We start from the raw sequence: 13,995 nt of genomic DNA, 5'->3' as shown, positions 1-13,995 counted from the left end.
CTAATTTGGTCTCGAGGTCTCTCTGTTGAGCGTAGCCACAGGCCAAGATAGCCAGTCTCCAGGAGAGCCCTGACCAAGGGGAAAGTTAGGTTTGGGTGTGTGTCAGATAAGACACAATGAGGAGGTGAAACAGAAGAAATTTATTACTCAGAGGATCCAGAGAGGTTAGGGGCATTGACTGGGGACTGTCTGGAAGTCTGGAGGGGACAGAGAGCTCAACCAGCGAGTGGGAAGTGAGAGCGAGTGAGTGAGCAAGAGAGAGACACAGAGAGAGAGAAAGAGAGAGAGAAGAGAGACAGACAGACTCTGGTGTTGGTGATTAGGTTTTGTTGTGGTCAGCAGCTGTGGGTGTGTTGGGTTTTGGGTCCGTGGGATGAGCAACAAGCAGGCAGTATCACAAGCAACCACATGGGAGGGAAAGTTTTAACTAGGCCAAAGGCGATGTGGTATGACTGGGTTTCAAATAACTTTATGCTAGACCACAAAATGGATGCCAAGGCAGAAACTGCAGGGTATGTTAAAGAAATTTATGATATCTTCTTTGAAGTGTTTGTCACAACTCTCTGCTGTATGTGCTCATTTCATCCATCCATCCATCCATCCCCCTTAGTCGAATTGAAGGAATGCAGTCTTTGGAGATAAACCAACATGGCTTCAAATTCTGGGTTTGTCACTTATTAGCAATGGGATTATATTTCTTTATCTGCAAAATGGAGGCATTTATGTAAGATACCTGGCACATTGTTAAGTACTCAATAGTAATTATTATATTCATTATATTATAAGGATATATTAATCTTAAATTCCTTCATTCTCAGAACATGTTCTTTCTCTGGGACCTTGCTCTAAAACTGAAATGGTGCATTCATTATCTATTGCTGTGTAACAAATTTCCCCAAAACTAAGCAGCTTAAAACAAAAACATCTATGATCTTACACCATTTTTGAGGGTTAGGAATCTGAGTGTGACTTAGCTGGGTGGTTCTGGCTTAGGCTTTTTCATGAGGCTACAATCAAGCTGTTGGGCAGAGCCGCAGACCCTGAGTACTTGACTGGGGCTGACAGATCCACTTCCAAGCTCACTCACATGGCTGATGGCAGGTGACTCCGATTGCTTACCATGTGGGCGTCTCCCTAGGCATTCCCAAAGCAAAGGGGGAGTGAGGAGACTAAGGCAGACACCGTAGTCTTTTTATAAAAATATCCTAAATATCAGAAGTGACGGCTTATCACTTCTGCTGTATGCCATTGGTCATCTAGACCAAGCCTGTGACAATGTGGGAGAGGACACACAAGGGATTGAATTCCAGGAGGCAGGGATCACTGGGGACCATCTTGGAGGCTGCAGACCACAGGTAGGGGAGAGGATAGAAAGAAGAATAAAATTTCTCTCCCCTGAAGCATCTGTCAGGTGAGGGAGGCCGTCATGTAAACATTAATGCCCCGTAAGACAGTGGCTATATTACTGGCACCAACAGAATGCCAGGGGAACATTGGAGAGAACTCTATTAACCTGCCTGAAGGCATCATGGAAGGTTTCCCAAGTGCACGCACACCGCAGTGTCCTTACTCAAGAGCTGTCCTAATGACACGCGATATTTGGTTGGTGTCTTTTTAAATTGAAGTTACTTGTTGAGGTGATTTCCTTGGACATTAAAAATAATAACTTGTCTCATATTACAGCAATGTACTGTTTGCAAAGTGCTTTCCCATGTGTTATCGCAGTCCACATAACAGCCCTGGGAGGTGGACAGGTTTTATTACTATTGTTTTTCTCAGTTGTAGCTGAGCTGCGGAAGCAAAGTCACTGCTGGAGTCTCTGAGTGGGGTGTGGTGGGTTGCGGCTTGAGCTGGGGTCTCGCTGGTCCACGCTTGGTACCTTAGCCATGACAGCACCTTCCCTGTGTTTCCTTTGAGTACTTTGGACCCCTCATCTTAGAGCAGCCATTTGGACCATTTCCCCCCTACAGATGCATTGCACACAGACTTGCTTATATCAAAGCTTATTTGCCACCTTTATCCTCAGTCAGTTGAAATGCTTTCTGTTCATAGAGAAGCTTTATGAAGAAAATCATTCACAAAGTACAGAAATGTGAACTGTGCTTTCATCAGCATTCACTGTGAAATTTCATTTTGCAAAGTCCCCAGGGGGACTTGAAATTTCTCTTTGGGCCATTAGAAGAGGGACCCGAACATCAATTCCTTAAACACAGATTTGCTCAAAGAACATTTAACAGCTTCAGTTCTCATTTGAACATGACTATTTTGCAAGTTTGTTTTTAGTTCTTCTGGTCAAGAGGGAAAAGATTTCGGGTCCATCCAGGTGTATACTCTGGGGGAGGAACTTTCTTTGTGACAAAGATGGTAGCATGTAGGGTGAGGGTTACAGTTATTCATGCGTGACTAGTAAATAAGACTATAGCAGTCTCCAAAAAGACATCTGTAGTGCTTAAGTGCATGGGCCTTGAAACTGCGCAGACCTGGATTTGATCCTGCCTCTGCCCTTACTATAATACCTCTGTGACCTTGGGAAAGTTATTTACTCTCCTAGCACTTGGTACCCTCATTTGCAAATAGGGTTAATAGTAGCACCTATATCATAATCTTTATCATCGGGTTAATAGCACTTTTATCATGTTTGTGGATTAAATAAGGTAATACATGTAAAGTGTTTAACACATAGACATAGGAATAAGCATTACCTAAATGCTAATGTTAGTGGTGATGATGATGACATGTATTTGAGTGGCTGCTCTTTGTGAGTTCATTCATTCATGAAACATTACTGCAGGCATTGCTAACACTGGTATCTGAGAACAACTAGGGGCTGTAGGGAGTCTTTGAATCTCCTAAGCTCATGTGGAAGATTTTGTGCATGTGCGTGCTTTTTTTTTTTTTCTGGCACGAATCTCAAAGGAATTTATGACCTCAGAAAGGTTAAAAACAAAGCCTACAGGGTGCTGAAGCCTTGGTGTTAGGGATACACTGATGATCATGGGCTCTCCTTGTGCTTAAGGAGTTTGCAAAGTGGCCAGGTGGACAGATGTACAGACAAGATGTTGCAGAATGGCCTGTGATGGGTGTAGCGACAGAGGCCACAGACAAAGAGAGCTGAGAGATCATCATCATGGAGGGGGAGTGGATGGGCAAGCCCAGTCAGAAGATCCCAGGCGGAAGGAATGACATGAAGAAACCCAGGCCACTAAATAATAAAGTGCTGTATCCTTAAAGGATCGAAATTAGTCACAGTGACAGTGCAAGTGCCCAAGAGTTAAGTGGCCCAACTTGAGGTGGGCAGGTTGGCAGAGGGGAGTCTGTGAAGTGTCTTTCAGATGAGGCTTGGAGCTTAGCCTTGATCCTGTGGTCGGTCCACGGGGAGGCATTGAAGAGTTGTAGCAAAGGAGCAATATGGTCAGAGCTGTGTTTAAAAATAAAAATCTGGGCTGGGTTCAGTGCCTCACATCTATAATCCCAGCACTTTGGAAAGCCAAGATGGTAAAACCGTTTGAGGCCAGGAGTTTGAGACCAGCCTGGGCAACATAGCGCAACTCTGACTCTACAAAAAGTAAAAGATATAGTCAGGTGCTGTGCCATTTGCTTATAGTTCCAGCTACTAGGGAGGCTGATGCGGGAGGATCACTTGAGGCTAGGAGTTTGAAGCTGCAGTGAGCTATTATCACACCACTGCACCCAGGCTGGCTGACAGAGTGAGACCCCATCTCTGAAAAAATAAAAATAAAAATAAAAATAATGAAAATAAAAGTCTCTCGTCCTGCTGTGTGTCAGGTAGACTAAAGAGGAGACCCTGGAGGAAGGGAGATGGGGGAGGAGGCTGGTGAGAGATGAGGCCCTGAAGTAAGGCAGAGGCAGTGGGGATTCAGGAAGGAGAGGAAATTAAAAATAAGCTAAGAGATCAGCCAGAGGGCTTGCTGCCCAGTGGATGTTGAGGAGGGAGAAGGTGACATGGGTGATTCTCAGGATTATGGCTTCTAATTTTCCTGTGGGCCTGGGACCTGCCAGATACCTGGTTACACCCCACTGGAGACCTGAGACACGCATATCAAATTGTCCCTAGCCCTAGAAATGCATAGTGTTAATGAAGGAGATAAGGATTACACATGAAATAACTAAAGAACAGCACAGGCACATCCTAAGCATAGTAAGGGAATCAGGAAGGTGATGGTGTGAACTGGAGTGGTTCCAAAGCTCTCTGTGGTATTATATCAAATGAGCAGTTTTTAATGTTCATCTTGTCTGACCTCTCAGCTTCCCACCACTCCTTTAGTCTTGAAACACTTTTCCCTTGCTTTTACAACATGTACTCTCTCTCTCTGTGGTCTCTATTTCCCAGCTGGGTCGCTGGGTTCATTCTCTTCTGGGGAGAGGGGGTGGGGGCATGCTCCAGCACAGGGTGCAGCCCTACCTGAGCTGCCCCCTGCTGAAGTCTCATCTCCACCACTTCCCTCTTGTCCTCTCTGCTGCAGCCACCCTGACCCTCCATCAGGCTTTGCCTTGAGCCAATGACAGTCCTACCTCTGTGCTTTTACACATTTATTTTCTGTCTGAACACCCTTCTTCCCTCATCTCCTAGTCAACTCCCATTCTTCCTTCCAATCTCAGCTCAAATTGCCCATCCTCGGGAAAAGGTTGACCATTTTATTTATTGCCCAAACTGGGATACATTTGAAAGTGCAATGGGTGTTATGAACAATGACACCAGGACAACAGGCATATGCTGGAAACTTCTGGACAAATGGGCAGGTGGTCACCTGACACGGGGTGGCCTTCTCAGGCTCCCCAGATGTGACTAGGTCTTCCTGTGCCCTCGTTGCTCTCTGGGATTCCTTCCACAGCCCCTACCATGGTTTATAGTGATACCTTTGAGCACCATCTGGCTTATCATCTTCTCCCCCATGGACCATATACTCCGAAGGCAGACATTTCCCATTGTGTTGTTGGCTCCTGAGACCCTTTGGCGCGTAGGAGGTACTTAATCAACACCTAATGAGTACCTGAATCAATGATGGAACTCAGATTGTGTTGTTCTGTGGCATGTACTAAGCCCTTCCATTTCCATATCTTGGTTGGTTCTCCTCGCTATCTTGCCACGTTTCCTCATCTCTATCTCCTGAGGATAGAGGCTTAATTACAATCTCACAGTGAGTGCCAGAGACAAGTCTAGGACTCTCAGGTCTGCTGATCCCAAATCCAGTGCTTTTTCCAAAAGTGTCTGAAGAAGAGAAAAGGAAAGATGACTACCAGATTTAGAACTCGGGAAACTGGGAGGATGGTCAGGACTGGAAAAAGATGGAGAATGGGGATCTGAGAACCATTTGTCAGCTTTCAATGCTCCATGACAATCTGAACAGCATTCTACACTGCAGACAGCTCAGAGTAGAGCCACAAATGGCCCCTCAGCTGCAGGGGGCGTATTAGTCTGTTCTTGCTATAAAGAACTACCTGAGACTGGGTAATTGATAAGGGAAAGAGGTTTAATTGGCTCATGGTTCACAGGCTGTACAGGAAGAATGGCTCTGGAGGCCTCAGGAAACTTACAATCATGGAAGAAGGCAAACAGGAAGGAGGTGTCTTACATGGCTGGAGCAGGAGGAAGAGAGAGAAGGAGGGGAGGTGCTACACACTTTTAAACAACCAGATCTCGTGAGAATTCACTGTCACGAGAGCAGCAAGAGGGAAGTCTGTCCCCATGATCCAATCACCTCTCACCAGGCCTCTTCTCCAACACTGGGGATTGCAAGTCGACATGAAACTTGGGCGGGGACACAAATCCAAACTCTATCAGGGGGCTTAAGTAGATGGTGTTTTGTTTTTATTGTGGTAAAACATACATGATATAAAATTTACCATTTTAACCATTTTTAGGTGTACAGTTCAGTGGCTTTAAGTACAATCACACTGCTGTCCAACCATCACTGTCATGCATCTCCAGAACTTTCTTATCTTCCCAAACTGACACTCTGTACCCATTAAACACTAACTCCCTATTTCTGTTCCCTTCAGCCTCTGGCAACCACCATCCTACTTTCTGCCTCTATGAATTTGACTACTCTAGGTTCCTCAGATAAGTAGAATCATACGATATTTGTCTTTTTGTGTCTGACTCATTCACTTAGCATCACATCTTCAAGGTACATCCATGTTGTAGAAGAATTTCCTTCCTTTATAAGGCCGGATAATTTTCTATTGTATTTATATACCATATTGTGTTTATTTCTTCATCCACTAATGGACACACCTGGGCTTTTTCTACATTTTGGCTATTGTGAATATGCTCCTATGAATGTTGGTATATAAATATCTGTTTGAGTTTCTGCTTTCATTTCTTTTCTTTTTTTTGCGATGGAGTCTCACTCTATCGCCCAGGCTGGAGTGCAGTGGCGTGATCTTGGCTCACTGCAACCTCTGCTTCCTGGGTTCAAGCGATTCTCCTGCCTCAGCCTCCCAAGTAACTGGAATTACAGGCGCGCCACGACGCCCGGCTAATTTTTGTATTTGTAGTAGAGACAGAGTTTCGCCATGTTGGCCAGGCTGATCTTGAACCCCTGACCTCAGGTGATCTGCCCACCTCGGCCTCCCAAAGTGCTGGGATTACAGGGGTGAGGAACTGCGCCCAGCCTGCTTTCAATTCTTTTGGGGGATACACCCAGAACTGGAATTGCTAGATCAATCAGCCAGTGATTTTTTTTTTTAACTACAGCAGCTTTCTATATTCTTAATGTGCAAGGGTTCCAATTTCTCTATATACTTGTCAACACTTAGGTCCTGTGATTTTTTTTCTTTTTTTTTAGATAGGGTCTCTATCATCTAGGCTGGAGAGCAGTGGTGCAATCATAGTTCACTATAGCCTCAAACACCTGGGTTCAAGCAATCCTCCTGCTTCAGCTTCCCGAGTAGTTGGGACTACAGGCATGCCACGATGCCCAGCTAATTTTTCAGGTATTTTGTTGTTGTTGTTTGTTAGATGGGGGCCCTGCTATGTTGCTCAGGCTGGTCTTGAACTCCTCCCGCGTCAGCCTCCCAAAGTGCTGTGATTACAGGTGTGTGCCACCTCGCCCAGCCTGTTTTTGATAATAGTTATCCTAATGGGTATGAAGCAGTTTCTTATGATTTTGATTTGCAATTTTTTAAATGATTAATGATGTTAAATATCTTTTCATATGCTCATTGGCCATTAGTATATCTTAGGAGAAATGTCTATTCAGGACTTTTGTCCATTTTGTAAGTGTTTTTTCATTGTTGAGTTGTAGGAGTTTAAAAATATATTCTGCTCATCATCACTGGCCATCAGAGAAATGCAAATCAAAACCACAATGCGATACCATCTCACACCAGTTAGAATGGCGATCATTAAAAAGTCAGGAAACAACCGGTGCTAGAGAGGATGTGGAGAAATAGGAACACTTTTATACTGTTGGTGGGACTGTAAACTAGTTCAACCATTGTGGAAGTCGGTGTGGCAATTCCTCAGGGATCTAGAACTAGAAATACCATTTGACCCAGCCATCCCATTACTGGGTATATACCCAAAGGATTATAAATCATGCTGCTATAAAGACACATGCACACGTATGTTTATTGCGGCACTATTCACAATAGCAAAGACTTGGAACCAACCCAAATGTCCAACAATGATAGACTGGATTAAGAAAATGTGGCACATATACACCATGGAATACTATGCAGCCATAAAAAAGGATGAGTTCATGTCCTTTATAGGGACATGGATGAAGCTGGAAACCATCATTCTCAGCAAACTATCGCAAGGACAAAAAACCAAACACTGCACGTTCTCACTCGTAGGTGGGAATTGAACAATGAGAACACATGGACACAGGAAGGGGAACATCACACACCGGGGACTGTTGTGGGATGAGGGGAGGGGGAAGGGATAGCATTAGGAGATATACCTAATACTAAATGACGAGTTAATGGGTGCAGCACACCAACATGGCACATGTATACATATGTAACAAACCTGCACGTTGTGCACATGTACCCTAAAACTTAAAGTATAATAATAAAATAAAAAAAGAAAAGAAAAAAATATATATATATTCTGACTATTGATCTATTATCAAATATATGATTTTGCACATATTTTCTGCCATTCTGTGGGTTACCTTTTCACTCTGTTCATAGTGTCTTTTGATGAAAAAAAGTTTTTAATTTTTATCTTTGATTTACCTATTTTGTTTTTTGTTGGCTGTGCTTACGTTGTCATATCCAAGAAATCATTGCCAAATGCAGTGTTATGAAGCTTTTCTCCTATGTTTTCTATATTTCTAGTGTTATGAAGCTTTTCTCCTATATTTTCTGTATTTCTAGTGTTATGAAGCTTTTCTCATATGATTAGGCCTTTGATTTGGCTCATATGATTAGGCCTTTGATCTATTTTGGGTTAATTTTTGTATATGGTATAAGGTAAAGGTCCAACTTCATTCTTTTTGCACGTGGATATTCAGTTTTCCCAGCACCACTTGTTGAAAAGACTGCCCTTTCCCTATTGAATAGTCTTGTCATCCTTGTTGAGAATCATTTGATCACACCTGAGAGGCTTTATTTCTGAGCTATCCTATCCCACTGTCCTCTATATCTGTCTTTATGCCAGTACCACACTGATTTTTTTCATTTGTTTTTATTTTCATTTTTAAAGCATTTTTGGTTCACAGCAAAATTGAGCATATGGTGCAGAGATTTTCCCCCACCTGCATTGATAGCCTCCCCCACCATCAAAATCCTGAATCAGAGTGGTGTGTTTTTTACAACTGATGAAACTACACTGACATGTCATCATCACCCAAAGTCCATAGTTTACATTACTCTTCACTCTTGGTGCTATTCTATGGGTTTTGAAAAATGTATAATGACATGTATCTACCATTATAGTATCACACAGAGTATTTTCACTGCTCTAAAATCCTCTGTACTTCACCTATTCATCTCTTCCTCCCCTCGGGCCCCTGGCAAATACTGATCTTTTTACTGTCTCTGTAGTTTTGCCTTTTCCAGAATGTAGTTTAGTTGGAATCATACAGTATGTAGCTTTTTCAGATTGACTTATTCCATTTAGTAATATGCATTTAAGATTCCTCCATGTCTTTTGTGGCTTGACAGCTCATTTCTTTTTAGCACTGAATAATATTTCATTGTTTGGATATACTGTAGTTTATTTATCTACTCACCTACAGAAGGACTCACCTACTGAAGGACATCTCAGCTGCTTCCAAGTTTTGGCAGTTATGAATACAGCTGCTATAAACATTCATGTGCAGATTTTTGTGTGGATATAAGTTTTTCAACCCATTTGGATAAATACCGAGGAGAACTAATTGCTGGATTATATAATAAGAGTATGTTTAGTTTTGTAAGAAACTGCCAAACTGCCTTGTAAAGTGGCTTTACCATTTTGCATTTCCACCAGAAAGGAATGAGGGTTCCTGTTGCTCGACGTCCTTGCCAGCATTTGGTATGTCAGTGTTTTGGACTTTGGCCATTGTAATAGGTGCTGGTGGTATCTCATTGTGATTGTATACACTATTTGATTACTGTAGCTTTGTTTTTGGCATCAGGAAATGTGAGACCTCCAGCCTGGGCGCAGTGACTCACGCCTTTAATCCCAGCACTTGGGGAGGCCGAGGCAGGTGGATGGCCTGAGACCAGACTGGCCAACATGGCAAAACCCAGCCTCTACTAAAAATACAAGAATTAGCTGGGTGCGCTGGCATGTGCCAGTAATCCCAGCCACTCGGGGGGCTGAGGCAGAAGAGAAAGAATCACTTGATCCAGGAGGCAGAGGTTGCAGTGAGCTGAGATTGTACCACTGCACTCCAGCCTGGGTGATGGAAGAAGACTCTGTTTCAAAAAAAAAAAAAAAGGAAGTATGAGAACTCCACTTGGTTCTTTTTTTTTTTTTCAAGATTGTTTTTGCTATTTGGGGTCCCTTGTAATTCCATATGAATTTTAGGATGGATTTTTTTATTTTGAAAAAAAGTTATTGGGATTTTGATAGAGACTGCATTGCATCTGTAGACCATTTTAGGTAGTATTGACATCCTAACAATATTAACTCTTCCGGTCTATGAGCATAGGATATCTTTCTGTTTATTTGTATTAATATCTTCTTTAATTTCTTTTACAAATATTTTATAGTTTTCAGTGTACAAGTCTTTCACCTTTTTGGTTAATTCCTAAGTATTTTATTCTTTTTGATGCTATTATAAATGGAATTCTTTTAAAAAAAGGTCCTTTTTGGATTGCTCCTCATCATGTATGAAACACAGTTGATTTTTATGTGTTGATTTTGTATCCTGCAACTTTGCTGAATTTGTTTATTACTTTGAATATTTTTCTGTGGAATCATTAGAGTTTTCTACATATGGGATCATGTCATCAACAAACAGATAATTTTGCTTCTTATTTTCTAATGTGGACACCTTCTATATCTTTCTCTTGCCTATTCTGGCTAGAATTTATAATACTATGTTGATGTAAAATAAAAGTGGGCATCTTTGTCTTATTCCTGATCATGGTGGAAAAGCTTTAAAGCTTTTAGTATTTTACCATTGAGTATGATGTTAGCTGTGTAAGCGGACAGTTTTTAAAGGAGCTTAAAAAGAGGTAGGATTATGAAATCCTGGGACTTAATTAAAATTATATCCCCCATATTCCTAGCACCTAGTCTGGCATATAATAATTACTGAGTGAATGGACATGTTTTTAAAAATGGTAGTTTCTCAAAACTGAATGAGCTAAAGGTGCCTCTAAAAGGGGGGGCAATTTGGTATTCATGAGGGTGGTAAGCATTGAAGAGTGATGAAAAAGGAGATAAGAGTCATTGGGTTGCCCACTGACAAGGTGTTGGTTCCTCATTGTGGGCAACAAAGCAAAGCCACTTTACCCTTTGCTCGGATAGCCTGCTTAATTCTGGTTATTTTCTCCTTCTCTATATTAGCACTTAACAGCTAGAAGAAAATAACATATGTTGTATCTCATTGTATTTATGAGTACTGAATTAATAACTTACAGCCCATTGCATAAAAAGAAAATGAGCAAAATGCTGTAAATTATAGATGGAAGTTGTTAATGTGAGTAGAGTGTACAACATATGCCTCATTGTGCACAGCTTTGAAATAATGTGACTGATTTAAATGACTTGAGGCTGGCTTCATTTTAATGTGGAATGTATGGAAAGCATTGAGTCACCACCATTTCATTAGTAAGGCTATGTTCTTCCATTGGACCTTGGCCCCTCAACTTGAAGTAGATAAAAATTCTGATTACCTATAGTCCTAGAATGGGAAAATCAAAAGATTTTTATTTAATATGTTGGCATATCTATTTGTGTGCACTTTTAACAAGCAAATTCTGAATATGAACTAACATGGCCTCTCTTTTCTCCTTTAACAAGGTCATCTGAGTTACAGATTTAAAAAATATGTTCATTAAATGCAGAGCTTGTTGATAACTTTGAGAAGCAACAGGATGTAGTGGAAAGAACAGGCCCTTTTGTCTCGGTGAGAAATTTTCTGGCTTCAAATAATTGAAACTCTATAGCTTGTGCCAAACAAGATTTTAGAAGACCAAAAAGGTATTCTCAGGATACAAGGCTATCTTACAGGCTCACGCGGGTCTGAGGCCACTCAGTCTGAGTTTCTAGGGCTATGTTGTCTCATCTCTGCTTTCCCTCCCACACCTGCTCCTTTCTTGTCTCTCAGCAGACTGGCTGTCTCTGCTCCTGTGCACATAGCCAAGCACAGCTGCCCTGCCCTGGCTTTTTATCCCTGCCAGTTCAAGGGCCAGCAGAGGCTGCCTGGCATCTCTGATTTCCAGATTCCTGGAAGAGAGAATCTGGTTATCTCATCTTGAGTCAGATGACCACTCCTGATTTGTTCATTTATTAATTCAGGAAGTCTTTACGAGTTTGGGGAACTGTTTTAGGCCCTGGGATTCATCTTACCCTCATGGAGCATATGTGTGTGTGTATGTGTGTGTGTGTGTGTGAGAGAGAGAGAGAGAGAGAGAGAGATAAGGGAAGAGGGACTCTGAAAGCTTATTCTTTTGGGCTCGGTTGAGGGTTGTAATTTTCAGAGGAAGGGATGTATGGGCTTGGAATTTGGATAGACCTGGACTCTAATCCTGGTTCCTCCCCTTACCAGCTCTGTGTGACCCTTGGGCATGTTAAATTACCTCTGTCAGCCCCAAGTTTTGAATCAGCAAAATGGGAGTAATCCTTTATAGGGTAGTTATAAGGATTAAAGTGAAATGGTGCCTGCAAAGCCAGGAGTGTAGTATCTGCCACATGTAATCAGAGCTCTACCACTTGGAACAAGTTATTAAACCTGTTTGAATCTGTTTCCTCATCTGTAAAATGGCAAAGAATATCACTTACCTCATATGCGTATTATAAGGATTAAACCATGGTAAGTACACCAGGGTGCCAGGAATTTGTACATAATGGATACTCAGTGTGGTCACTGCTCTTCTTATTCTTATTGCGAGTCACATTTTTTCTCTTCTAGTTCCCATTTGGCCGGCGCTTGCCTTGTGACATCTACTGGCATGGAGTTTCATTTCACGACAATGACATATTCTCCGGTCAAGTGAACAAGTTTCCAGGTATCTGCTGTTATTGTTGACATTTAAACATGTTTCTAGGGCCAAGTCTCAGATACACTCTTCTACTAAAACATGACAGTTATTTTTGAGATCAGATTTGAGGACTCTTAATTGGGAATTGCTGTGTTCACTAGCCATTAAGGTTTTAAGGATTGGAGACAGGCTTTTAAAGGTTCAAAGGCAGGCTTTCTTGGTCTAATGCCACTGGTGGAAGAACATGGTTTCCACTTTTTGGGTTATGCATATAATATGGGGTTCTAATGAGAGGAATATATTCTGAAAATGAAAAAATAATAGAACATTTCATTCTTGCGGGAAACAAAAGCACCAAAATTCTAGGCATATGTCATAGAAATGGGGTATCAGCTTCCCTTTTCTTTAAGTATTATATTTGGAGGTACCATTTTTAAAACCAAATATACTGGTCTCCATATTAAGTACTACAGGCTGCACACAGCCTCTGCCTTTTACCTAATGACATTATCTCAGCAAGACTTATCCTGCAAGGAGAAATCTTAGTGCTAGAAAAGCATCATAGCCAGCACTAAGATATCCCTCTCACTCCACTACCAACCTCCCAATACAACTTTTTTGTTTTGCATTTTAATCTCTACCACTTTTCTGAGATGGAGTCTCGCTTGGTCACTCATACTGGAGAGCAGCAGCACGATCTTGGCTCACTGCAACCTCTGCCTCCCAGGTTCAAGCAATTCTCCTGCCTCAGCCTTCCGAGTAGCTGGGATTACAGGCCTGTACCACCATACCCGGCTAATTTTGTATTTTTAGTAGAGACAGGGTTTTGCCATGTCACGTTGGCCAGGCTGGTCTCGAACTCCTGACCTCAAGTGACCCACCTGCCTCAGTCTCCCACAGTGCTGGGATTACAAGCGTGAGCCACTGTACCGGGTCTCTTCATTATTTTTGATGGCTGAATGAAGAGGATATTTAAGATGGTAGGACAGCTTAGGGAGAAGGAGCACTGGATTAAGCTGGGTATGATGCAGTCAAAGGGCCTTCCACTTATTTTTTAAAATGTTAATATATTACACAGACCATATTATAATGCCATAATAAATACTTTCTAAAAAGAACATCACCCTGAATCCCATATCTCATTTAACAAAACAGCAATATGAATATTTCTATATTTCCTCCCAAACCTTAAGCAAGTTTACTCATCCTTTTTGCATGGTTGCAGTCCTAGTGTAGTTGCCTAAATATAGGGTGTTTTCTCTTAGTATTTTATCAATTTTACCTATTTTAAAGGGAGAATCAATTTACTGTTTCCTTGACATTCTATCCCACGTCTTTAAGAAAACGCATTGCAGAAAACACAATAGCCATACGTTATACAGGGGG

The 13,995-nt window shown here is 41.8% G+C and overlaps 1 protein-coding gene across 8 annotated transcripts in view, besides 1 other annotated feature; it reads left to right on the top strand.

Moving 5' to 3' along the window:
- Positions 1-13,995, top strand: part of TTLL11 (tubulin tyrosine ligase like 11) — a 277,635-nt gene that overhangs the window by 41,401 nt on the left and 222,239 nt on the right. For all 8 annotated transcript variants that reach the window (XR_001746188.2, XR_929721.4, XR_929720.4 and 5 more), the window contains exon 2: positions 12,540-12,636. Coding sequence is in view for 5 of the 8 variants with exons in the window: in XM_047422825.1 (XP_047278781.1) it covers positions 12,540-12,636 (97 nt within the window). In the remaining 3 variants the exon portion in view is untranslated. The remainder of the gene's footprint in view (positions 1-12,539; positions 12,637-13,995) is intronic.
- Positions 11,782-12,981: an enhancer, noted in NCBI's record as "P300/CBP strongly-dependent group 1 enhancer chr9:124801206-124802405 (GRCh37/hg19 assembly coordinates)". NCBI's record gives its function as "activates an origin of replication core promoter dependent on BRD2, BRD4, P300/CBP, MED14 and CDK7 cofactors, with strong dependence on P300/CBP, by STARR-seq in HCT116 cells {active_cell/tissue: HCT116}" and the evidence as "EXISTENCE:reporter gene assay evidence [ECO:0000049][PMID:35650434]".

The sequence above is a fragment of the Homo sapiens genome, chromosome 9 (genome assembly GCF_000001405.40).
Source record: "Homo sapiens chromosome 9, GRCh38.p14 Primary Assembly".
Taxonomy (NCBI): domain Eukaryota; kingdom Metazoa; phylum Chordata; class Mammalia; order Primates; family Hominidae; genus Homo; species Homo sapiens.
This window is presented reverse-complemented; position numbering and strand designations above follow the sequence as displayed.